Source organism: Homo sapiens, chromosome 6 (assembly GCF_000001405.40).
Source record: "Homo sapiens chromosome 6, GRCh38.p14 Primary Assembly".
NCBI classification, from domain to species: domain Eukaryota; kingdom Metazoa; phylum Chordata; class Mammalia; order Primates; family Hominidae; genus Homo; species Homo sapiens.
In genome coordinates, this window is record NC_000006.12 from 96,267,531 (window position 1) to 96,295,000 (window position 27,470).

General features: G+C 36.3%; 1 long non-coding RNA gene and 1 pseudogene across 1 annotated transcript in view; one reads left to right on the plus strand and one right to left on the minus strand.

The window, feature by feature from the left end:
* Window positions 1-27,470, minus strand: part of UFL1-AS1 (UFL1 antisense RNA 1) — a 321,372-nt gene that overhangs the window by 67,188 nt on the left and 226,714 nt on the right. The gene's annotated exons all lie outside the window — the stretch shown is intronic.
* Window positions 15,043-15,333, plus strand: RN7SL797P (RNA, 7SL, cytoplasmic 797, pseudogene; annotated as a pseudogene).

Consider the following 27,470-nt stretch of genomic DNA (forward strand, 5'->3'; position numbering starts at 1 on the left):
ACTCAAACAGAAAAAAGGAAAATGTGAATACATACCCCAAGTGTATAATATTTAGAATTTATTTTATTAATATTTGTATAACATTCTGTGAGATGCTAATTTTAATGTCTGGTTTATAAATTATTTTCATATTTGTCTGAGTGGCCATAAATATCTAAAAAGGATGCCCTACAAAATTATATAGGTCCAAATAGAAAAAGTGAGTCATTGCAGCTCCTACTAAATCATGACACATTTTTTCAGTCCCATCTATCTGTCTAAATAATTATGAAGCTGCTAGTAAAATTTTACCTTTTCTGATGGCAATCAAATCTTACAAAATAAGTATATTTTTATATTTAAAACATAGATTTAAAACCTAATAAAGCTCTTCATTTGGGAGATTTTACAGACTAGAAAATTCTAATTTCAGATATGCAGACTAGATTTTATAGGTGAAATGCTTAGAATTGTTTTTGTCAACAAAACCACATTACTATGGGAATATTTCCAAGTATCTATTCTCAATATTCTCTTGTCATAACATAAGTTTCTTTGAATAAGTATTCATTTTCTCACTCTTTGTTAACATCTCAATTTTAACTTGAAGAAACAGGTTATGTCTTATTTTGAAATATATATATATTCCAGGTAGTACATCTCTTCATTCCTGGAAATGTCAGCAAATTTAGGAAACTTGTCTTTTTTAAAAGAAAAATTATATCTTTTTTTAAGTTGCCAACTCCTTTAAGGACTTGTTATAAGACAACCAGAAAATTGCAGTGCATAAAAAAGAGTTTTATGGTCACTTGTATTGTGTTAAAAATAACATACAAAGAGTTCTTCTATTGAATAGTCTTCTTTTTACAAAATTAGCTATATTCATAACATTTGAAAATGATGTGATTTCATTTTCAAATTTTTTCTACAAATAATACAATGAATACATTTCCATTGTGAAGATATCTCTATAATCATGACCAGGAACATTTTTATTAATGATTACAAACCAATCAGCAGCTTTATCAGTGGTTACACATATAGACTTAGTCAATAAAATACTTTTTGTTTAATGAAATCATTTGTATTGAGAATATATTCTTTATGGGACATCTTACTTTGGTTGCTTACAGCTACTTTTTAACCAGAGCAAGAACAAATGTTTCCCTAACAGTACATGGCATTTCATCTTTTACAATTAAGAAACCTCAAATTTATCATCTAAACAATTATTATATTTGATTAAGTTTTTACAAAGTAATGGATTATCATATAATTCTAAGTAGTATTGAAAGAATAGTCCTTTGCTTCCCAGTGCTTTCAATGTCTTGTTCTCATAATGGTTTTATACTGTGATTAGCTAACATCTCAGGGCTAAATAAACACTTAGGACAAGATTTGTCCTTAATGATGCTGGATGCAATTCAAATTTCAAAAAGCCTCACCCTCATAATTTTATATTTTTTTAACCAATATCTCAAATTTTATTAGGTTATTGATTTGAGTCCACCATGTGGCAGAAGAGCAAATGCTAGCTTCAAAAGTGTTAATTCTGCCATTTACTTGTTGATTATTTACGCTTGCATTATCAGTAATATCTTCAAGCTAGGATTTATTCGCAGAAATACTTTTTAAACAATTTGCTCACTTTGAGAGGTCTAGTTTCATCAAAACTGATTAATATAATCTGTAAATTTACCTAATTAGGCAGAAATAAATTTCAATAATCACAATATGTTGAAATCAAATGAATACACAAAGGGCTATGTAAACGTCTTTGTTTTAGGACAACTACGCCTCCCTTAGGATAACTCCCCATAGGCTACCATATGACATACGTGCCTGCTGAGGGTGCCAGTGTCAAGTGTTTAATTAAATATTAGCAAATCCTAATGGATTGCCTCAGTAATCCCACTTTTGGCACCACTGGTAAAATGACCTTTTGAATTCTATCTCATTATGGTGACTACATTTGTAAAGATGTTAAGATGGTTCACTTGCAGTAAAGATTCACAGAAACCTAGGGACTTTTGAAAACTTCTAATCACTAGTATTTTTGAATTAGTCACTAAACAAGCTGCAATAAGCCAAATTAAAATTATGTGTGTACATAAACATAAATCCAGTATTTTTAACAGATATGCAAATTATATTCTAATTTTTAATAAGATATTTTCCTGCAAGAGAGTCACGCCCAAACTTTGGGGAAATTATGTAAGACTCACATATTTTGGTAAGCAAATCATTTCCATAATTAATATCTTTTTTATTATACTCTATCTTCCATTTTCTTTATCATTAGGAAATACCTTTAATGATTGTATGAAATAGCTGACCATTTCTTTATTTAAAGTGACAGGCTGTAATTCAAATAAAAAAATACTCATTTACAACTAGAAGCCATTTTAAAGAGTAAATTGGGGCACGATAAAATTTTAAAGAGTTTATTTGAGCAAACAGCAATTTATGTTTTGGGCAGCTTCAAACCATTAGTGATTCAGGAGCTCCACTAAGGGAAAGCAAAGAGGGAGATTTATAGGAAAAACATGGAGGCAAAGCAAAGACAATATTTGATTGATTACAGTTTCACAGTTGCTTTATTTGGTCTATCCTGTTGGAAAGTCCCTAGTTATATAATTATATGTCAGTTGACTATTTCTGATTGGTTGAGCTTAAGCTCTGTTTTTCTTTGATACAGGCATTCACAAGAAATAGCTCAAATTAAGTTTTGCTTCTGTTTGTAAATCAAGCAAGGTTAAGGTCACTTATGAGGCCTGACTGGCCTTGTTTGCTCAGTGATTCTTCAGGCTTGTTCTCTTAATTTACTTTAATACATGTAACTGTGCTATGGTCTGAATGTTTGTGTCCCTCCAAAATTCATATGTCAAACCATTAAAAGGTGGGGCCTTTGGGAGGTGATTAGATCTTGAGGGCCCTGCCCTAATGAATGGGATTAGTGCCCTTATAAAAGGGCTTGGGGGAGCCTGTTTGCCCCTCTTCCACCTCTTCTGCCATATGAGGACATGACAAGAAGGCTCCATCTTTGAAGTAGAGAGCAAGCCCTTACCAGACACCAAATCTGCCAGTGGGTTGATGTCCAGAGCTGTTAACAATAAATTTCTATTGTTTATAAATTACTCATTTTTTTGCCATGTTACATTCCCACAAGCAATGAATGAGAATTCTTTTATTATTATTAAGTTTTGGGATACATGTGCAGAATGTGCAGGTTTGTTACATAGGTATACACATGCCATGGTGGTTTGCTGCACCCATCAACCCATCATCTAGATTAGGTATTTCTCCTAATGCTATTCCTCCCCTAGCCCCCTACCCCACAATAGGCCCTGGTGTGTGATGTTCCCCTCCCTGTGTCCACGTGTTCTCATTATCCAACTCCCACTTATGAGTGAGAACATGCAGTGTTTGGTTTTCTGTTCCTGTGTTAGTTTGTTGAGAATGATGGTTTCCAGCTTCATCCATGTCCCTCCAAAGGACATGAACTCACCCTTTTTTACTCATCCTGCATAGTATTCCATGGTGTATATGTGCCACATTTTCTTTATCCAGTCTATCATTGATGGGAATTTGGGTTGGTTCCAAGTTTTTGCTATTGTGAATAGTGCTGCAATAAACATATGTGTGCTGTGTCTTTATAGTAGAATGATTTATAATCCTTTGGGTATAAACTCAGTAATGGGATTGCCGGGTCAAATGGTATTTCTGGTTCTAGATCCTTGAGGAATCGCCACACTGTCTTCCACAATGGTTGAACTAATTTACACTCCTACCAACAGTGTAAAAGCATTTCTATTTCTCCACATCCTCTCCAGCATCTGTTGTTTTCTGACTTTAATGACCACCATTCTAACTGGTGTGAGATGGTATCTCATTGTGGTTTTGATTTGCATTTCTCTAATGACCAGTGATGATGAGCTTTCTTTCATATGTTTGTTGGCTGCATAAATGTCTTCTTTTGAGAAACATCTGTTCATATCCTTTGCCCACTTTTTGTTGGGGTTGTTTGTTTTTTTCTTGTAAATTTAAGTTCCTTATAGCTTCTGGATATTAGCCCTTTGTCAGATGGATAGATTGCAATAATTTTCTCCCATTCTCTAGGTTGCCTGTTCGCTCTGATGATAGTTTCTTTTGCTGTGCAGAAGCTCTTTAATTTAATTAGATCCCATTTGTCAGTTTTGGCTTTTGTTGAGATTACTTTTGGTGTTTTAGTCATGAAGTCTTTGCCCATGCCTATGCCCTGAATGGTATTGCCCAGATTTTCTTCTAGGGTTCTTATAGTTTTAGGTCTTATGTTTGAGTCTTTAATCCATCTCAAGTTAATTTTTGTATAAGGTGTAAAGAAGGGGTCCAGTTTCAGTTTTCTGCATATGGCTGGCCAGTTTTCCCAACATCATTTATTAAACAGAGAATCCTTTCCTTATTTCTTGTTTTTGTCAGGTTTGACAAAGATCCGATGGTTGTAGATGCAGTGTTATTTCTGAGGCCTCTGCTTTGTTCCATTGCTCTATATATCTGTTTCGATACCAGTACCATGCTGTTTTGATTACTGTAGCCTTGTAGTATAGTTTGAAGTCAGGTAGTGTGATGCCTCCTGCTTTGTTCTTTTTGCTTAGGATTGTCTTGGGTATAGGGGCTCTTTTTTGGTTCCATATGAAATTTAAAGTCTTTTTTTCTAATTTTGTGAAGAAACTCAATGGTAGCTTCATGGGGATAGCATCGAATCTATAAATTACTTTGAGCAGTATGGCCATTTATACAATATTGATTCTTCCTATCCATGAGCATAGAATGTTTTTCTATTTGTTTGTGTTCTCTTTTATTTCTTTGAGCAATGGTTTGTAGTTCTCCTTGAACAGGTCCTTCACATCCCTTGAAAGTTGTATTCCTAGGTATTTTATTATTTTTTTAGCAATTGTGAATGGTAATTCAGTCATGATTTGGCTCTCTGTTTGTCTATTATTGGTGTATAGGAGTGCTTATGTATCAATTGCACATTGATTTGTATCCTGAGACTTTGCTGAAGTTGCTTATCATCTTAAGGAGATTTTGGACTGAGACAATGGGCTTTTCTAAATATACAATCATGTCATCTGCAGATAGAGACAATTTGACTTCCTCTCTTCCTATTTGAATACCCTTTCTTTCTTTCTCTCGTCTGATTGCTCTGGCTAGAACTTCCAATACTGTGTTGAATACGAGTGGTAAGAGAGGGCATTCTTGTCTTATGCTGGTTTTCAAAGGGAATTCTTCCAGCTTTTGCCCATTCGTATGATATTGGCTGTGGGTTTGTCATAAATAGCTCTTATTATTTTGAGATACATTCCATCAATAACTAGTTTATTGAGAGTTTTTAGCATAAAGGGGTGTTGAATTTTGTCAAAGGCCTTTTCTGCATCTATTGAGATAATCATGTGGGTTTTGTAATTGGTTCTGTTTATGTGATGGATCACGTTTATTGATTTGTATATGTTGAACCAGCCTTGCATTCCAGGGATGAAGCTACCTTGATCGTGATGGATAAGCTTTTTGATGTGCTGCTGGATTCAGTTTGCCAGTATTTTATTGGGGATTTTCACGTTGATGTTCATCAGGGATATTGGCCTGAAATTTTCTTTTTTTTGTTTTGTCTCTGCCAGGTTTTGGTATCAGGATGATGCTGGCCTTATAAAATGAGTTAGGGAGGAATCCCTCTTATTCTGTTGTTTGGAATAGTTTCAGAAGGAATAGTACCAGCTCCTCTTTGTACCTCTGGTAGAATTTGGCTGTGAATCCATCTGGTCCTGGGCTTGGATTGGTTGGTAGCCTATTAATTACTGCCTCAATTTCAGAACTTGTTATTGATCTATTCAGGGATTTGACTTTTTCCTGGTTTAGTCTTGGGAGGGTGTATGTGTCCAGTAATTTATCTATTTCTTCTAGATTTTCTAGTTTATTTGCATAGAGGTATTTATGGTATTCTCTGATGGTAGTTTGTATTTCTGTGGGATCAGTGGTGATATCCCCTTTATAATTTTTTATTGTGTCTATTTGATTCTTCTCTCTTTTCTTCTTTATTAATCTGGCTAGTGGTTTATCTATTTTGTTAATCTTTTCCAAAAACAAGCTCCTGAATTCATTGATTTTCTGAAGGATTTTTTGTATCTCTACCTCCTTCAGTTCTGCTCTGATCTCAGTTATTTCTTGTCTTCTGCTAGCTTTTGAATTTGTTTGCTCTTGCTTCTCTAGTTTTTTAAATTGTGATGTTAGGGTGTCGATTTTAGATCTTTCCTGCTTTCTCCTGTGGGCATTTAGTGCTATAAATTTCCATCTAAACACTGCTTTAGCTGTGCTCCAGAGATATAAATTACTCACTTTAAGGAATTGGGTTATAGCAGCCCAAATGGACTAATAGAAATTGTGTTACGGTAGCTGCCAATGTGTACATTATTTTTTGTACACTTAAAAGGTTTTAAGTGCAACACTTTCTTCTACAGACCTATATTTCATTTGCTATTTCAGTTACAGTATGAAAATATTTCTGAAATGTATTAAAATTTGCATGCCTCTCCTAGCAAATTGATGTGTACAACTAGAAAATGCAAAATTGCAAAAAGCTCTTACATGATGCTACAGAGAAACTTATCGTGTCTAGAAAATCTGATTGTATAATTAGTTTAATTGTGCCTACAATAAAGCTTCAAGCTCAGTTAAAGTACAGGCTCCCAGATTTGCACAGGTGTTTCTGCTAACTTAAGTTCAGACAGCTAGGAATCTTTTTACTTTTAAATAGCGCTTACTGAAAACTAAAAGCCTAATGACTCATTCATTCAATCACACTATCATATTGATCACCTGTGTGAGAAGCATAACTAAAACAATTTACTTCACACATTTTAGTCTTTACATTTTATTCAAAGATATCCAGGCATCTCACAACATTACAGTTATATCCAATTAGAATAAATTCATAGAGATCAAGATATACGGCAGACTCACATCACCTGTTCTTGAGCCCCTATAGCCAAATAGCCTTTCAAAAGGCTGAATGAAGACAAGCTTAAGTTCAATCAAATATTGGAAAGCCCTAGGAAGTGGGCATCTTAGATGTTAGATAATTAGAAGTCAATGAGTGCCCTTTCTATGATCCTCTCTCAGTGCAAGACAAGAGGAGATTTCTGAACAACTTCTCCCTATGATCTCTGTAAAAGAAAAATTAAGTTACAGCATGACAGGCTGTCTGCCTTTGATAAAATATATCTAATAAAATATTAACTGTGACATAACTTAAAAATTTTGACAGCTAAAAGTCATATTATTTTCAGTAAATTATGCATTTCCATCTTTCAGTTGAAAAGTTTGTGAACAAAGAGCAATTTAAAAAATAATCTTTTCTTATTTTGATCAGGAACATCTAATGTATTATAAAAGCCTCTAAATAGTCATTAAGCTTTACTTAGAAAAGTACACATGCCATTTTCAGGTGAACTTTCACAGACACTTTTAGAAAGAATATTCATGTCATCCTACATGGACATACAAATTGGAAAAATAGACATTGGAGACTTCGAAAGGTGGGAGGGAGGGAGTGGGATGAGGATTGAAAAAACTGGTTGTTCGGTATAATGTTCACTATTCAAGTGATGGGTATACTAAAAGCCCAGACTTCAGCACTACCCAATATATTCATGTAAGAAAATTTTACTTATACTCTTTAAATGTATAAAAATTATATTTTTTAAGTGCACCCAGGAGTATGACTACAATAAATGCCTTCTGGTTGGGGCAGATAACATTAGTGAATGCAGCAAGTAGATTGAGGACAGTAGAGCAAGATGAGAAATAAAAGTAAATAGACTGAGTCTCATTTATAGAGATCACCACTGCTCAGTTCCAGCTGATTGGTGGCACTGGCTTTTTAATATTCTGATTGTTCAGGAGAAACCAAAAAGTCTAGAAGAACCAGAAGTGAAGTCTCTCCATTTTAAATGCTAGCAAATAATTTTATCCTATAAAAAATTATGTGTGCCAAATGAAATGTGTCTTTTGGCTGGATTTGGCTCAATGGTCACTCACTTTCAACTTCTGACTTAGAATTCCATATTAAAATAAATAACAAGAGGATAAAATTAATTAAAATAGAAGATTTGTTATTACTCATTATCATCACCAAGAGAAATCACTGGTCTCCAAGCATGTTTCTTTCCCAGAACACATTCCCTTTCTCTTTCTTGCCTATGACATTCCCCCAGACTTTCACAGGGCCCACTACTTCCCTAGCCTCTGCTCAAGTGTCTCATCCTGAGAAAGCCTTTCCTTAATTGCTTCTTTAAAATGAAACTGCTATACTCTACCCATTCGCCTTGCATGTATCACTTCATGCCATGTATTCTACAAATATATTGAGCATCTACTTCATGAAGAGCTCTCTTTTAAGCCCTGGGGATATAGAGGTGGATAAATAAAATCAAAGTCCTTATCCTCATAGAGTATGCAGTCCACTGGGGAAAGAGAGACTATAAACAAGCAAGTACACAATATGTTAGGTGGTAATATGCTCTAGGGAGAAAAGTAAAGCTGGGTAAAGAAGATAAGAAGTGCAGTGAGGGAGGAGGCAGAGCAAGATGGCTGAATAGAATCCTCCACTAATTGTCCTCCCCAAAGGAACATCAAATTGAACAACTATCCTCACAAAAAATGCACCTTCATAAAAAACAAAAATCAGGTGTGTGCACACAGTACCTGGTTTTAACTTTATATTACTGAAAAATGCACTAAAGAAGGTAGGAAAGACAGTCTTGAATTGCCCATGCCACCCCTTCCCAGTTCTCTAGTGGCAACCACATGCAAAGAAGTAATATGTGCATTTGAGGGAGGAAAACACAGTGATTGTGAGACTTTGCATTGGAACTCAGTGCTGCCTGTCACAGCTGAAAGCAACACCAGGCAGAACTTGTTGGAACTCACATGCAGGGCATTTAGATCAGCCTTAGCCAGAGGAAAATTGCCCATCCCAGTGGTTGGAACCTGAGTTACAGCAAGCCCTACCACTGCAGGCTAAAGTGCTCTGGGGTTCTAAATAAGGAAAGGCAGTCTAGGCCACAAGGACTGCAATTCCTGGACAAGTCCTAGTACTGTGCTGGGCTTGGAGCCAGTGGATTTAAGATGTATACGATCCAGTGAGACACCGGGTGGGGTGGCAAATGGAGTGCTTTTTTCATCCCTCCTCCAACCCTAGAAAACACAGCTTGCAGCTCTGAGACAGATTCTTCCCTCTGCCTAAAGAGAGGTGAGGGGAGAGTTAAGAAGACTTTGCTTTACAACTTGGATACCAGCTCAGCCACAGTAGGATAGGGCAATCAGTAGGATAGGCAGCATCCTGAGACCCCCACTCCAGGCCCTAGCTTCTGGATGACATTTCTATACACATCCTTAGCAGGAAGGTAACCCACTTCCTTGAAGGGAAGGACCCAGTTCTAGCAGGATTCATTATCTGCTGAATAAAGATTCCTTAGGCTTATAATAATCAGCAGTAGCAGCCAAGTGGTGCTCACCAGGGACATTGAGTGAGACTCACAGATGTGCTAGCATCAGATGTGAACCAGCACATTCCCAGCTCAAGTGGCTACAGGGAGAGACCCCTTCTGCTTGAGAAAAAGAGAGGGAAGAGTAAAGAGGATTTTGTCTTTCAGCTTAGGATCCAGCTCAGCCACAGTGGGGTAGAGCACCAAACAGGCTTTTTGGGTACCTGATTTCAGGTCTGAGCTCTTGGACAGCATTTCTGGACCTTCTGTGGGACAGAGAGGAGCCCACTGCCCTGAAAGGAGAATCCTAGGCCTGGCGGCATTTACCACAAGCTGACTGAAGAGGCCTTGGGCCTTGAGGGAACACCAGTAGTAGCCAAGCAGTACTTGATGTAACCCTGAAGCAGTGATGGGGAAAAGTTCTTCTGCCACTACAAAGAGGGGAGGAGGAAGAGTGGGAAAAACTTTGCCTTGTGGCCTGGGTGCCAGCTTAGCCAGAGTAGAATAGAGTACCAGATAGTGGAAGTAGAGATGGGAAGAATGCTGGTAATCATGCATATTGAAAAGTGCAGTTTTTCACATATTAGTGACTGCTGAGAGGAACAGACAACCAATAGACACAGGTAGAAGGAAGATAAACCTGCAATACTGCAGAGGTGTTCCTGAAAAAACTTAACAGATTTTGAAATATGAACTAAAAAGAATGAACTGAATTAACCTGCTCCTTGTGAACCTAAGGAAAAAAAATTAACCCCCACTCATGAACAGGAGAAAGATCAAGAGCAATCATTCATCCAGTATTCTTTTTCTTTTTCTTTTTTTGGAAACAGGGTCTCATTCTGTTGCACAGGCTGGAGTGCAGTGGCACAATCATAGCTCACTGCAGCCTCAAACTCCTGGGCTCAAGTTATCCTCCCATCTCATCCTCCTGAGTAGAGCTGAACTACAGATGCACACCACCACACTGGCTATTTTTTTTTTTTTTTTTGAGAGATGGGGATTTACTTTATGGCCAAGGCTCATCTCAAACTCCTGGGCTCAAGTGATACTCCTGTCTCATATTCTAACAAAATCTGTGTTTTAATAAATATCATAATATTCAATGCCATGGAACATGAAAGAAAAAAAATACCGCATAGTAAAGTAGAAGAATAAGCATTTGGAGACTTAAAGGAAGCATATGTCTGAAAAAGATCTACTGAAAGATCTGGAAGAAGAGTTAAGGAAATTATTCAGAGTGTGTGTGTGTGTGTGTGTGTGTGTGTGTGTGTGTGTGTGTGTGTGTATGTGTAAAATATATATATATATATCCCCTGTGAATCAAGAGCAATATATTCAAAACACAGATATTTATCAGCTATCAAAAATAAACATAGTTAATACTAAAAGCAGTCAAATAGTAGGAGTGAACTTTATTTTGATGGAGACGTTTTCCCCCCAATGTAAGTGACCTGGGTTTGGTTGATAGTAGATAATCCATTGTGAAAGTGCAATCATTTTATCAATTGAGTACTAAATTATCATTCTGCTTCCAGTGTAACTGTGACACCTATTTTATTTCACAATTGCTATCTTGTCACCAATCCTAGCCATTGCTTATTTTTATCTTCTTCCATAAAAAAAGAACATAACATTTAAGATGTATGCCATTCGTTCTTTTCTCAGTGCCCTTTGAACACAGTCTCATAGCAACACAAAACGTGTACCTTATTTTATTATGCTGGTTTGATAATCAACCACCCTACTATACACACTCTCATCTCTGAAGCAAGAGCACATATTTTATTTTGGAACTTCAATGTCTAGTGTAGTATCTGGCATATAGTATGTAATCAACAATGTAAGTTGAATTAATCATAATTTAAGAACGTTAATCACAAAAATGTTTTACACACTGGAAGAGTTCTGTTACTATGTAAAGTGGCATTTGCTTTGAAATTTAGACTGAAATAAAAATAGATTTTGAAAGAGTTTGTAAAGTAAATCTACTCCAAAATACCTCTTCTACCATTCCTCAAAATCATGTTCTTGATCAAAATAAAATCCTTTTGGAAATCAACCATGTCATCAAGAAAACCTGTCCAAGAGTTCAGGTTAAATTTGTGCTGTCTCAGAAATAGCAGTCAGCCTTCATAAAAGGCACTGCCGACATATGTAATGGAAGTAAGAAACTGCAGATTGATGCCTTTGAGCTAAGAAATTAATTGAATGCACTTCTGTGTTCTCCCTGATTCACTGGATAGAGCTAATAACTTACAAGATAAGAAAACATATGGCCACCAGAAAAAAGAAAGCCATGGTTACCAATGCTTCTGGTAAAGGTCCTGTGGTATATAGAATAAATTTAAGTGGCTCAAGGAAGAATATGAAATGAGATTAATCTCTTGAGAGTAAATTTAAGAAATCCTTTACAAGATATACATGTTTTCCTTCACAAAACTAAATCAAACTTCAGCCTCTTACAATATCTTAAGTTGACCATATCTAATTGTCCAAAAACTATTGCCAGACATCTTGCTGTTGTTCCACAAAGTGATGGAATTGTATGAAGCGACCCCATATACCTTCAAATCAGATGCTCATAGTGCAGGATGACAAGATAACATACATATGATGCATGCAGGGACAGGGAATGTTTCAATCCCAAACAAAATAATCACAGTGCAAAGAAATTAAGACAGCTTCTGGTCAGATGACTTTAGCATACTTTCCTCCATTTCCAGCAATTAGGCCTCAGACCCTGATATGGTTTGGCTCTGTCTCCTCACCCAAATCTCACGTTGAATTGTTATTCCCAGTGTTGGGGGAGGGACCTGGTGGGAGGTGTTTGGATCATGGGGTGAATACACCCTCTGCTGTTCTCATAATACTGGGTGAGCTTTCATGAGGTCTGATGTTTTAAAAGTGTACGGCACTTCCTCCTTTGCTCTCTCTTTCCTGTCACCATGGGAAGAAGCTTCTTGCTTCCCCTCCACCTTCCTCCATGATTGTATGTTCCTTGAGGCCTCCCTAGCCATGCCTGCTGTACAGCCTGTAGAGCTGTGAGTCAATTAAACCTCTTTTCATTCATAAATTTCCCAGTCTCAGATAGTACTTAATAGCAGTGTGAGAACAGACGAATACAGATTGATATGATTTGGCTCTGTGTCCCCAACCAAATCTCATCTCGAATTGTAATCGCCACATGTCACTGGAGGGGCCTGCAGGAGGTGATTGAATCATAGGGGCACACTTCCCCCTTGCTGTTTCTGTGTTAGTGAGTTCTCACAAGAGTTGTTTGAAAGTGTATGGCACTTTCCCTTTGTGCTCTCTCTCTCTTGCTCTACCATTGTAAGACATGCTTGCATCCCCTTTGCCCTTCTGCCATGATTGTAATTTTCCTAAGGCCTCCCAGTCACGTTCCTGTTAAGCATGAAGAACTGTGAATCAATTAAACCTCTTTTTTCATACATTACTCAGTCTCAGGTAGTTCTTTATAGCAGTGAATAAACAGACACACACTTGAGAATCTGCAGTATCTATAATCCCTAAGCTAAAAGTGGTGTAATTTACGATATAAAGCAGAGAATAAATTCTTATGAATATAATAATATTTTCTCAATTCTCTCTGTATTCATTTTCCTTAAATGTATGCTTTTCATATTTACTCTATTTTCTTCCCCTCTGTGCCCCCACCTTGATCTCCACTTTCTAAAAACCTATTCAGGGGCATTTATTGAGAATCTACTATACTCCTCTATACATTGAAGATAAAATGTTAAATTCTCTAAAAGACAAGGAAACATGCCTTCCCTGGTATACAAGGTGTTCCTGACAATCAGAGAACCTAAGAAATGAAGACTTTCACATTATGTAATAAAACAAAAAACTTGAAGAATTTTATGAACTAAGTAAACCACAAGCTATTAGAGTTTAAAAAAAAAGAGAGAGAAGATGGAAAAACTTGTTAAGAAATAAAAAGGAGGATACCAAAGGAAATTAAAATAATAGGCACAATTTTATGTTAGTAAATTATAAAATTTCAATAAAGTAGACGATATTCTGGAAAAGAAAACTACTCAAAGTAGATGAATCCTAATCCTAACAATAATAGTATTGGGTGATTTTGAAAAAATTGTCAGAAGCTAAATTCCAAGAAAGTTGTCATAAACAAGCAATTCCAAACGGCCAATAGTGCAAACTTCCTTGGAAGAGATCATTTCCCTACTTTGCAAATTATTAGAGAATAAAAAATGTGCATGGTTCCCAAATCACACTCTAAAGATGCATAGCCATGATACAAAAAAGTTATAAAAATCAAATAATAATTAAAAAAGAGAAAAAATGATAGTTTCACTACAAGAAGTAAAATTATCTCAAAGACACCATTTATAAAATTAATGTGCAAACTATAAGCTGGTAGCAATATTTGGTAGATATATGAGACAAATATAGTGGCTATTTAAAAAAAAAAAAAACTTTAACATGGTTAGGCAGTACCAAAATGATCTATGCCCTCAACCAAGTCATAGAAAGCAGAATTTCTCTTCCCCAAGTTTGGTCATAGAAACTTGAATCCATTTGCCCCAAAGCAAACCATAAAACAACACACACACACACACACAAAAGTCACCCTCTTCTTTCTCTTTTCTCCCTTGAAGACTCTCTCTCCAGAAGGGTCCTTCCCCAAACCTGGGAGGAATGAATGGTACCCAGAGAGGACGAGAGAAATCTGAATAGACCTTGCTGGGTTTCCCCTCTCAGTTTATTACCATTAGCTTTTACCTTTTAGTCCAGTCACATTTCTGCAAGGCTGTCCATTCTTCAACAAACCCAAGCATAAAAATTGACTGTTTTTCCTGAGTCTTTCATTCTTCATGTCTGAAGGCTCCCATATTACATAAAACCTTCAAAAATACATTTGTTATGCTTTTTTCTTGTTAACCTATTTTTTGTTACAGGAGTGTCAACCATGCCTCTTATGGTGAGTGAGGAAAAGTATCACACCTTACAGTAGCGATACAATAATAATACGTTTTTTTTTTTTTTTGAGACGGAGTCTCAGTCTGTCACCCACGCTGAAGTGCAGTGGCAAGATCTCCACCTCCCGGGTTCAAGTGATTCTCCTCCCTCAGCCTCCTGAGTAGCTGGGACTACAGGCGCCCACCACCACACCCAGATAATATTTTTTTTGTATCTTTAGTTGAGACGGGGTTCCACCATATTGGCCAGGCTGGTCTTGAACTCCTGACCTTGTGATCCGCCCACCTTGGCCTCCCAAAGTGCTGGGATTACAGGTGTGAGCCACCATGCCCAGCCAATAATAAGAGATTTAATTTGAGAAGTGAAATAAAAGGCATTCTAATACTTGAGAGAATTGTGGTATTTCCTCCTGGACTCATACATGAAGGGTTCACTGTTATCTTTCAGGAATAATTGAGGAAAAGTTTTATACTAGAGCCAAAGGAGTTAACCAGATTACTTGTAAAAAGACATTTCTGTTCCACTGTTCTGAATATCTGAACTTTTCCTACCCTTATTTTAAAGTTTCTCTAGCACCAGTGCAGTGGTGTATGCCTTTAGTCCCAGCTACTCAGGAGGCTGAGGCAGGAGGATTGCTCAAGCCTAGGTGTTCTGAGCTGTAGTGAGCTATGCTGATCGGGTGTCTACACTAAGTTTGGCATCAATATGGTGACCTCCTGGCAGCAGGGAACCACCAGGTTGCCTAAAGAGGGGTGAACCAGCCCTAGTCAGAAATGGAGTAGGTCAAAACTTCATTGCTGATCAGTAGTAGGATTGTGCCTGTGAATAGCCACTGCACTCCAGCCTGGGCAACATAGTTAACGAAGTCTCTGAAAAAAATAAAATACTAATAAATAAATAAAGAACGTTTTTCTAGCTTTTAAAAGGCTAAGGAAAAATAACTTTTATTTCAGCATTTGCCATCCAATGGTAATATTTCAAACTGACATAAAAAGGAAAATGCAAAAAAGAGAAACAAGTCAGATAGATATACATGATCTGATGCAAATACAATGAACACTAAATGTGGGTTGCCAACTAATAATATTTCCTAGAGTTAGGGGCATTGTGAGCAAGTCTATCATTAACAAATCTGGAAAGGAAACCGGGTGTTAATCCTGTGAGTCTGTCAAGTTTTCATTTCCACAGTGTGTCTTTTTTCTTCCATTAAAAGGTCTCCTCTAATTCCAAAGGTATGAAGAAAGAAAACCAATTACCAAGAAAAAAATCAGAATAATGCTAAGAATGTTTTTCTCCTTTGATTTTGATTAGTGGCTTTATGTGATTCAGTTATTTTTATCTACTGGCTTAACAATACTCATTTTACTTATATAACTCTCATTTCAATGATAGTTTTCCTTTATGTTTACAGTGCATAGTATAGACATAGCATGCAATATATATCTTGATAGTTTACTTTGGAAAATTGATATGATAGTGAGTATTGATTTTATATAAAAAAGCAAGCTCAGATTAGCCAAACATTTGCCTTATAGTAATTGAATTACACCTCCTGTTCGAAACTGCAAAGTAATGATGCCTTATTCCATGAATCAGTTAATTCCTAAAACTGCCTAATTATTGATCTAAATGAAGATTTTAAAATCAAACATAATTCCTAGCTTTTATATAAATAACATATACATCATTTTGGAAGCTAATGAGTTTCATTGGCCTGCTATTACATAAATTTTTTATTGCCAGATGTATCTAAATATTTCTTCATGATCATTTTCAAGTGCAAATATAAATCAGGGGAAATTTGCAAATGCTAACCTTAATAAGGAACTATTTAAAACAATTTTCTTACTAAAATTTCCTATCTGAAAATAGTACAAATGCAATTTATTTTTAAGTAGTAATAAGCAGATTAAAATTTTAAAAAGAGCTAAACTCTTATTCCTGGTAGAGCTTATTTCTAAATTTCCAGCTAGGAAAAACAGGAAATACACTACAGCAAATACACAAGGTATTTCCTGGAAATTTTGATGGTGATGGTATTATTAAAATATTTACAAGTTCTTGAGGTCAACATACTAGTAAACAGTCATTTTCTCTCTTTGCACCCTTGAAGATAAGAGGTAGACAATGTTATTGCATCCTGCACAGCATGGTTACAAATCACAGACTGTCAAAATCAAGATTGCAGATTGCAACTAAAACGCTATGGCACCTTGGTGTATAGTCCAAGAGATTTAAATCAAAAGATCCTATACCCTGAGTTATGTCACTGAGAGAGAAACCTGTGATTACCTATTGGTTTGAATAAATTATAAAATTATCTCTTCTGGACAAACTTCTCCATGTGAGGTTCAGAAAAACAAATAATAAATTCAATTGAGATTATTCAGTATTCTTTTCATTGTTTATTTATTACACTCCCCAAAATTTGAACCAGGATTTCACAGAAAATTCCCTTCTTATTCTCTCAGTAACTTGATGAGCCATATTTAGCATTTATCTGAACATCATGAGTCTACTAGACTTCTACATATGCATCAATGTGTGAAACTGTGAAGAATACAGTGAAATGGAAAATATGGTCCCAGGAAACCTTGATATACTCAGCTAAATCTTCATCTGGTGCCAGAGCATTTGAGAGCAACAACTGATAAAGTAGCAACAGCCAGGAGACATGGAGGTTGTTTTTACCTCTTTTTCTTTTCTTTTCTTCCACATACTTCTACAAGTATGTGGGAGTTGGAAAGACACACTCTAGGGTCAGCCACTTTATTGACTTTAACAATATATGAAAATATTTCAAGAACATTTTTAAAAACTTCTGGACACTGTGATAAGATACCCAGTGATAACTAAGCTCACCTTCTGTTTCTAACCCAAGTATGGAGTTTGAAGATTTATGTGGGAAACATAGGCTCTTAGACCCCTAAATGTTCACTGAAAATCAGTGACATGTGGCAGACTGATTAACACGAGAAAAAACATAAAAATTCATTCAACTTGTATACACAGGAGTCTTCAAAATGAATACCCAACTTTCTGATAAGGTTACTGAAGCTTATATAATAATACCATCTTGCAGTTACAGAAAGAATGGGGTCTTGGATTCTGGTAAAACAGGTTATGGGAGGGGGAAAATAGGAGTTCTATTGACAGAGAGAGAAGAAGAATTCTATTGAGGGGCAATAAGTGATTATTGGTGAAAATGATTAGATCAGGGAACTTGTAAATAGTTCTCTTTGGAATTTAAACAATTGATATTTGGAGATGATCATTATTTTGAAAAAAGATCTGTTGAGGTGTGGCTACCACTTTGATCTTATAGGGAAGATAAGAAAAGTATTTTTTCTTTAATAGGTCTGGATTTTAAGAAAATAAAGGAACTTCAGCTCTTTGGGAAAGACGGTGGGGAGGAGGGGAAGATCAAAGAGACCTTGAGATTTCTTCTTCTGTTCAGCATGTTAAAATGCCATATTTTGGGATATTGGCTTCTGAACTCCAACATGTTCCTTTTATAAATATGTCTAGCAGACAAAAATAGCACATATCACATATATCTACCGGCAAGTTTTCTATACCATTTTTAAGAAAAAGTGTTGGTAAATGATAGCTTCCTATAAAAAACATATAGATCTAGTACTTTTAAAGGTCCAATTTGATTTTGACAACATCAGATCATCCTCAACCATATAAAAGACCAATCACAAGGAAATCTTTTATACTCCTAGAATCATTGTGACTATATATTTGAAATAACATAAAATTACTTGGTTTATATCAATGCTTCTAAAATTAGGGTTTATCTACATATTACACATCTATAATTCAATGATAATTTGAAAATAAAAAAATTCTTAACCATATGAATGAGCACATTATAATGGCCTTGGAATTGAAAAATCTTAAATTACAGTTGTGTTTTCAATCATGTAAAGGCCAAAAACTATTATTTTAATTTTTGGAGCCAATAATAAGAGAACCATGTCAGTTTATTTAATGGCCAAAAACATCAGGATACCTAGCAGTTTATATAGAGAAAAGAAATGGGAGAATTGAATAGGTATAAAATATAGATAAAGTAAAAATCAAAACAATTATTGCATTAATCATCAGTACCATATTTATGTTGCTTACAGCAACTTAGTTTCAGCAAAATTATATGACTTCTTATAATATGAAATTATATAAATAATAATATAAATCTGAGGTGTCAAAAACCCAAGAAACCTTTAGAGAATCACCCATCACACATCTGATAATTTATTGATAAGAGAAGATCTTTGAAGGAAATAGGCAGGTTTAGAGACTGCTTTAGTGTTTCTTCATTTTATGACATTCCTCTAGACCAGGTAAAAAGGGTATTAAGAGAGTCTCACTGCTTGTGTGTGTGTGTGTGTGTGTGTGTGTGTGTGTGTGTACTAAAAGAGTCTCACTCTCTGGGTGTGTGTGTGTGTGTGTGTGTGTGTGTGTGTTTTCCAAGATGGCAAATTGGAGGCAATGTTAACATGCCTCTCCAACTTGGAAAGACAAAATAGTGACCAGAAATTCACACTATGAACTTTTTTCCAAGAAGCAATGAAGGAACTTAACAGGAAAATTGAAAGAAAACACAGACCCTTTGAAAGAAGCAACAGGGTGCAGCCTACACCATGAGCCAGGCAAAAAATTGTAAGTCCCTAGCATGTGAGAAATGGGGAGACTGCCTCCTACTGGGGAACATAACAATTCAGCCCATGGGGGAAGGTCTTAACCCTACTCAGTGCTGAAACTGATATAGGAAGTGGTGGGGAATCCAAAAGTAGGAGGGACAGCAGGAAGAGCCTTGCATGCCTTCCCAGTCTCCAGTGCAGATTGAGGGAAGCCATTCCTGATTCTACATCACAAGGCACCTCGCAGAAGTTAGCCAACTACCTCAGGGAATGATGGTAGGTGAAAAGAAGCTCCCAACTGAAATTCATAATATAATCTTGAGTAGGAATGAACTCCCTTAGTCAGAACCAGGGGGTGAGTGGGAAGTTGCTGCAACCGTGGGCACAGGAGCTGGGAACCCTGGCTGTCTGGGCAGACAGGGAGGGGCATGACCTGAAAGCAATGGTTCCTGTCTCTATGGAGAAAGCATATGGCCTGGGGTCATCCTGAGTTCTGAATGTAGACTACCTGGAATTTAGCTAGCTGCTCCTAGCAAACACTGTAACACTTTCATGAGAAACCTGCCTTGCCAAGTGCATGGGATATGGGTGAGGCTTACTGCCACCTGCTATTTCCCACTCCCTGCACAAACTGTTCTTTGCTGCAGAGGCAGCTACACCGCTTCCTAGAACATTACCCTAGAGGCCAGAGAACTATCCCTCAATTCCCACAGGGGCCTCTGCTTGCCCTGCATGTAGAGAGCCAGAACTCAGACCTGACTGGCTCAGCCCCAACCTGGCTTTGCCTTTCAACCTACCCTGGTAGCTTAACACAAAGGACAGAAACTTTTGGGAGCCCAATGGTCCCACCCATCACTTGAGAAACTGGAGTATCTCCCATGGGTAACATAAGGCAAACACATGAATCCCACCACTACTACTGCAGCTAGTACTCTTTTGCAAGTCCCACCTCCTGACTGAAGGAGAACTGACACAGTTCATCACAGCATCTACAGGCAGAATAATCTGCATCCAGGAATGTGAAAACTTGTGGACAACCTCAGCTATCACCATTGCCTGCACTACCTTGGGTAACCAGGAGGTCCTGACCAGTTTATTACTACTACAACTGGCATTTGAGAAAGCCCAACACATTAAGGCTATTTATAACCAAGGAATCTCAGAGTCTACATCACTACCCTGCCACCCTTATCAAAATAGGTCCTGCTGGGAGACTTGAGGACAGGTCACATCACGGGATCCCTTGCAGACATTCCCCAGCAACAGCCTGGAGTGTGGCAGCTCAGCTGGGCAGCTAGAACCAGAGAAGCAACAGCATTCACAGTAGTCTGGCTCTCAGGGTCTCTTACTCTTAGGGAAAGGAGAACACCATATCAAGAGAACATGCCATGGGACAAAAGAATCCAGATGGCAACTCTTGGATCTCAGATTATTCCACTGGTGGGATGTTTCTTTCAGCAGAGGCACATTTGCTGTTCCGGGCTCAGTTGGGAAAGTCTGCAGCTCTGCATCAACAGACAGGTAGCCCTGGCGCTTGTGAAGGGTCTTGGAGAATGGAAATTCTTGTCCCCCTTTTTCACCACTGCAGAAACAACTGGGGCATCTCCCACAGGAACTTGGGGTGGAGGTACCTATAGACAGCCATTTTGGAACACTTCAGGGTGACTTCAACCCCAAAGATGAAGCACTCTCCAGGTTCAGGTTTGCATAAAGAGTAGAATCATAATTCCTCCCTACTTGGAACATCAATATTCCTGCATATGAAAAGTGGTGCCTGTCTGATCTGAATAGCCAGAACACTGGGGTAGGAGTCTGTCTGAGCAGTGGATCACTTTTCCACTGGCCTGGAAGAGTAGCTGAGGTAGCTGTCATCCTCAACCCTGATAAGACTTCAGTGCATTTCACTGAGAGCTCCTTCATCCACCTCTGTTAAGGCTGGGATCTCTGCCCAATATGGGATATTGCATTTATCCACCTACATTAGCCACAAATGGTTTCTACCCAGAGATACCTCCCTTACTTTCCTGAAGCCTGAACTATTCAACCCAGTAAACAAAATACTGGGGGAAAATAAATAAATAAATAAATAAATAAATAAATACAGTGCAAACCACAGGGGAATGAGGTAAGCTTCAGGAGACATCTGTCATTTCAACCGCATAGGAGACAGTGAACTTGCTCACACACTGAACATATTGCTACTACAACCAGTATCTGAGAAAGCCATCAAACAAAGACTCTCTATAATCAAGAAATTCATACAGTCATCACCCCGAAAACATCAAAAACTGAATTAAGCTACAATAAACTAAAAATTAAATGTACATCCTTAAAGGGGAAAAAAACACAGTCAAATAAAAAATAAATTCAAGAATAATTGGAAGAAATAGTTTACCCAAGTGATTAGGACCCAGAAAAATAATTCTGCTAATCTGACAAAACAGAGTTCTATGCTACCCCAAAAAGATCACACTAGCTTTCCAGCAATGGATGAAACCTTTGACACAAGACAAAGAATTCAAAAGGTTGATTATGAAACTACTCAAGGAGGTACCAGAGAAAAGAGGAAACCAACATAAAGAAATTTTAAAAAATTCAAGATATGAATGAAAAATTTTCTAATTAGATATTTTAAAGAAAAACCAAGTAGAACTTTTGAAAATAAAAGACACATTTAGGGAATTACAAAATGCAGTGAAAAGTTTCAACAATAGACTAGAACATGTAGAAGAAAAAATTCAGAGCTTTAAGACATGGCTTTTGAATTAACTCAGTCAGACAAAAATAAAGAAAAAAGAATAAAAAGAATTAAACAAAGTCTCCAAGAAATATGGGATTATGTAAAACTTCCATACCTAAGAATAAGTGGTGGTTCCTGAGAGGAGAAGAGAAAGCGAAATTTGGTAAAATTTATTTGAGGGAATAATTGAGGAAATCTTCACTGGCCTTGCTAGAGATTTAGATATCCAAATACAAGAAGCTCGAACTCCTGGGAGATTCATCACAAAAAAGACTTCACCAATGAATATAGTCGTCAGGATATCTAAAGTCAATGTAAAGGAAAGAATTCTGAGAGCAGTGAGACAAAAGCACCAGGTAACCATTAAAGGAAAACTTATCAGACTAATGGTGGATTTCTCACAAGAAACCTTATAAGCCAGTAGGAATTGTGGTCATATCTTTAGCCTCCTTAAACAGAATTAGTGTCAGCCAAGAATTTTGGGTCCAGCAAAACTAATTCTCCTAAATGAAGAAGCGATAAACCCACTTTTCAGACAAATAAATGCTGGGGGGGTATTTGCCACTACTAGATCAGCCCTAAGAAAATGCTAAAAAGGAGTTCTAAATCCTGAAACTTAAGATATTCACCTGAATAGAAACTCTTGAAAGCATAAACTCACAGGGCCTATAAACAATAACACAATAAAGAAAACAAAGTGTCTAGGTAATGATTAAGATAATGACTGAAACAGTAACTCACTTCTCAGTATGAAAATTGAATGTAAATGGCCTAAATGCCCCACTTAAAAGATAGATTAGCCGAATGGATTTTTAAAAACACATACCAAATATCTGTTGTCTTCAAGAGACTCACCTAACATGTAAAGATTCATATAAACTAAAAGTAAAGTGATATGAAAAGATATTCCATGCAAATGGAAACGATAAGCTAGCAGGTGTAGATATTCTCATATCAGATAAAATGCACTTTAAAGCAACAGCAGAAAAAAAAGGCAAAGAAGGCCTCTGTATAATGATAAAAGAATCAATCCACTAAGAAGATATTACCATCTTGAATTTATATGCTCCTAACACTGGAGCTCCCAAATTTATAAAACAATTGCTATGAGCCCTAATAAATGAGATAGAAAGTAACACAATAATAGCCAGTGATTCAACTCTCCACTGACAGCACTAGAAAGTTATTGAGACAGAAAGTCAGCAAAGAAATAATGACTTCAGCTATGCTCTAGAACAAATGGACCTAACAGATATTTACAGAATATTCTATGCAAGAACTTCAGAAAACACATTCTTCTCATTAGCACATGAAACATTTTCCAAGATAGAGCATATAACAGGCCACAAAACAGGTCTCAATAAATTTTAAAAAATCAAAATCATATCAAGCATCCTCTAAGACCACAATGAACTAAAACTGGAAATTGACTGAAAAAGAACTCTCACAATTACACAAATACATGAACATTAAATAATCTGCTCTTGAGTGATGTCTGGGTCAATATTAAATCAAAATGGAAATTCAAAAATTATTTGAACTGAAAAATATAGCAACAAAAGTTATCAAAACCTCTGAGATACAGCAAAAGCAGTGCTAAGACGAAAGTTCATAGCATTAAATGCCTGCACTAAAACACCTAAAAGAGCACAAATAGACAATCTAATGTCACACCTCAAGGAACTAGAGAAAGAAGAACAACCCAAACCCGGAAGCAGAAAAGGAATTTAAAAATCAGAGCAAAACTAAATAATTTTTTTAAAAAAGATAAATGAAACATAAAGCAGGCTCTTTGAAAAGATAAACAAAACTGATAGACCATTAGTGAGATTAACCAAAAAAAAGGAGAGAGAAAATCCAAATAAGCTCAATTAGAAATGAAATGGGAGATATTACAATCAATACCACAGAAATACAAAAGATCATTCAAGGCTACTATGAACACCTTTATGCACACAAACTAGAAAATCTAAAGGATATGGATAAATTTCTGGAAATATACAACCCTCCTAGATTAAATTAGAAAGAAATAGAAACTCTGAACAGAGCAATAACAAGTAGCATGATTGAAACAGTAATAAAAAAAATTGCCAACATAAAAAGTCCAGATGAATACACAGCTCAATTTTATCAAATATTCATTCAAAGAAGAAGTGGTACCAGTCCTACTGTTACTATTTCAAAAGACAGAAAAAGAGGGAATCCTATCTGAATCATTCTGTGAACCCAGTATCATCCTAATATCAAAACCAGGAAAGGACATAATAAAAAAAGGAAACCACAGACCAACACCCTGATGAACATAGATGCAAAAATTCTCAACAAAATAATAGCTAACCAAATCCAAGAGCATATCAAAAAAAATTATACATCAGGACCAAGTGGGCTTCATACCAGGGAGGCAGGGATGATTTAACATACTCATCAATAAATATGATACATCACATAAACAAAATTAAAAATAACAATTATATTATCATGTCAGTAGACGCAGAAAAGCATTTGACAAAATCCAGTATCCCTTTAAGATTAAAACCCTCACAAAACTGGCATAGAAGTGAAACACCTCAAGGTAATAAAAGCTATCTATGACAAACCCACAGCCAAAATTGTACTGGATGGGGAAAAGTTGAAATCATTCCCCCCAAGAACTGGAATAAGGCAAGGTTGCCCACCTTCATGACTTCTATTCAACATAATACTGAAAGTCCTAGCCAGAGCTATCAGACATGAGAAAGAAGTGAAGGGCATCCAAATTGGTAAAGAGGAAGTCAAACCATTGTTGTTCACCAATGATACAATCATAGGCTTAGAAAACCCAAAAGACTCACCCAGAAAGCTCCTGGATCTGATAAACAAATTTAATAAAGTCTCAGTATGCAAAATCAATATACGCAAGTCAGTAGCATTGCTCTATACCAACGATAATGAAGCTTGGAGTTGAATCAAGAACTCAATCTCTTTTACAACAGCAGCAAAAAATAAAATAAAATACATAGGAATAACATAACCAAGGAGGTTAAAAATTTCTACAAGGAAAACTACAACACACTGCTGAAAGAAATGACTGATGAAACAAACAAAGGGAAACATATTCCATGCTCATGGATGGGTAGAATCAATATTGTGAAAATGAGCATATTGCCCAGAGCAACCTACAGATTCAATGCAATTCCCATCAAAATGTTATCACCATTCTTCACAGAATTAGATAAAACAGTCCTAAAATTTATATGAAACCAATAAAGAGCCTGCATAGCCAAAGCAAGAATAATCAAAAAGAACAAATCTGGAGGCATCACATTGCCTGACTTCAAACTATGCTACAAGACTATAGTTATCAAAATGGGATGGCACTGGTATAACAATAGGCACATAGACAAATGGAACAGATTTGAGAACCTATAGATAAAGCCAAATACAGCCAACTGATCTTTGACAAAGCAAACAAAATTAGAAATTGGAGAAAGGGTACCCTATTCAATAAATGATGTTAGGATAATTGGCAAGCCACATGTAGAAGAATGAAACTGGATCCTCATCTCTCACCTTACACAAAAATCAACTTCAGATGGATCACAGACTTACATCTAACACCTGAAACCATAACAACTCTAGAAAATAACATTAGAAAAACTCTTCTAGACTTTAGCTTAGGCAAAGAGTTCATGGCCAAGAGCCCAAAAGGAAATGCAACAAAAACAAAACTAAATAGATGAGACCAAATTAAACTAAAAATCTTCTGCACAGTAAAAGAAATAATCAGCAGAGTAAACAGACAACCCACAGACTGGGAGAAAATATTGAGAAACTATGCATCTGACAAAGGACTAATATCCTGTATCTATAAGTAATTCAGACAAATCAGGAAAATCAAGGAAAAGACAATCAAGGAAAAAAATCCAATCAAAAAGTGGACAAAAGATATGAATAGATAATTCTCAAAAGAAGATATACAAATGGCCAACAAACATATGAAAAACTGCTCAACATCACTAATTATCAGGGAAATGCAAATTAAAACCACAATGAGATACCAACTTATTCTTGCAAAAATGGCCATAATTTAAAAAAAAATAGATGTCAGTGTGGATGTGGTAAGAAAAGAAACAATTTTACACTGCTGGTGGGAATGCAAACTAGTGCAACCACTATGGGAAACAGTATGCAGATTCCTTAAAGAACTAAAAGTAGAACCACCTTTTAATCCATCAGTCCCACTACTGGGTATCTACCCCACAAAAAAAGAAGTCATTATATGAAAAAGACTCTTGCATACACATGTTTATAGCAGCACAATTTGCAATTGCAAAAACATGAAAGCAGCATAAATGTCCATCAGCCAATGAATGAATAAAGAAAATGTGGTATATACACACCATGGAATACTACTCAGCCATAATAAGGAATGATGTAATGGCAATTGCAGCAACTTGGATGGATTTGGAGATGATCATTCTAAGTTAAGTAACTCAGGAATGAAAAACCAAATAGCAATGGTATATGTTCTCACTCATAAGTGGGAGTTAAGCTATGAGGATACAAAGGCATAAGAATGATAAAATTGACTTTGGGGACTCAGAGAGAATTTGGGAGGGGGATGAGGGATAAAAGACTATATATTGGACACAGTGTACACTGTATGGGTGATGGGTATACCAAAACCTCAGAAATCACCACTAAAGAACTTATTCATGTAATCAAAAACCCACTGTTCTCAAAAAACTATTGAAAGTTTTAAAAAGTCTGAAAAGTCACAAGTAAACAACCTAATGCCACTCTTCAAGGAACTAGAGGAACAACAATAAACTGGACCCAAAGCTAGCAGAAGAAGAAAAAAAAAGATCAGAGCAGAACTAAATAAAATTGAAACAAAGAAAAATAGAGAAGATCAGATGATAAATTAAACAAAAAGCTGGTTCTTTGAAAAGATGAACAAATTTGATAGACCATTAGCCAAGGTTAACCAAGAAAAGATAGAAGATTCAAGTAATCTCAATTGGAAATGCAAATGGAGACACTACAAGCAACAACACACAAAGACAAAACATCATTTGAGACTACTATCAACACCTCTATGCACACAAACTAGAACATTTAGAGGAAATGGATAACTTCCTGGAAATATACAACCCACCTAGATTAAATCAGGAATAAATAGAAACTCTGAACAGAACAATAACAAGCAGTGAGATTGCATCAGTAATTTAAAAATTACCAACAACAAAACAAAGCCCAGGGCCAGCTAGATTCAAAGCTGAATTCTTCCAGACACCCAAAGAATAATTGGTGCCAATTCTACTGAAACTATTCCAAATGATGGAGAAAGAGGGAGTCCTCCATAACTCATTCTATGAAGTCGGTATCAACCTGATACCAAAACCAGAAAAGCACATAACAACAAAAGAAAATGACAGACCAACATCCCTGATGAACATATATACAAAAATGCTCAATAAAATACTAGCTAACTGAATTCAACAGTGCCTCAAAAAGATAATATACCATGATCAAGTAGGTTTCATCCCAGGAATGTAGGGATGGTCTGACATATGTAAGTCAATAAATGTAGCACATCACATAAAAAGAATTAAAAAACAAAAACCATATGATAATTTC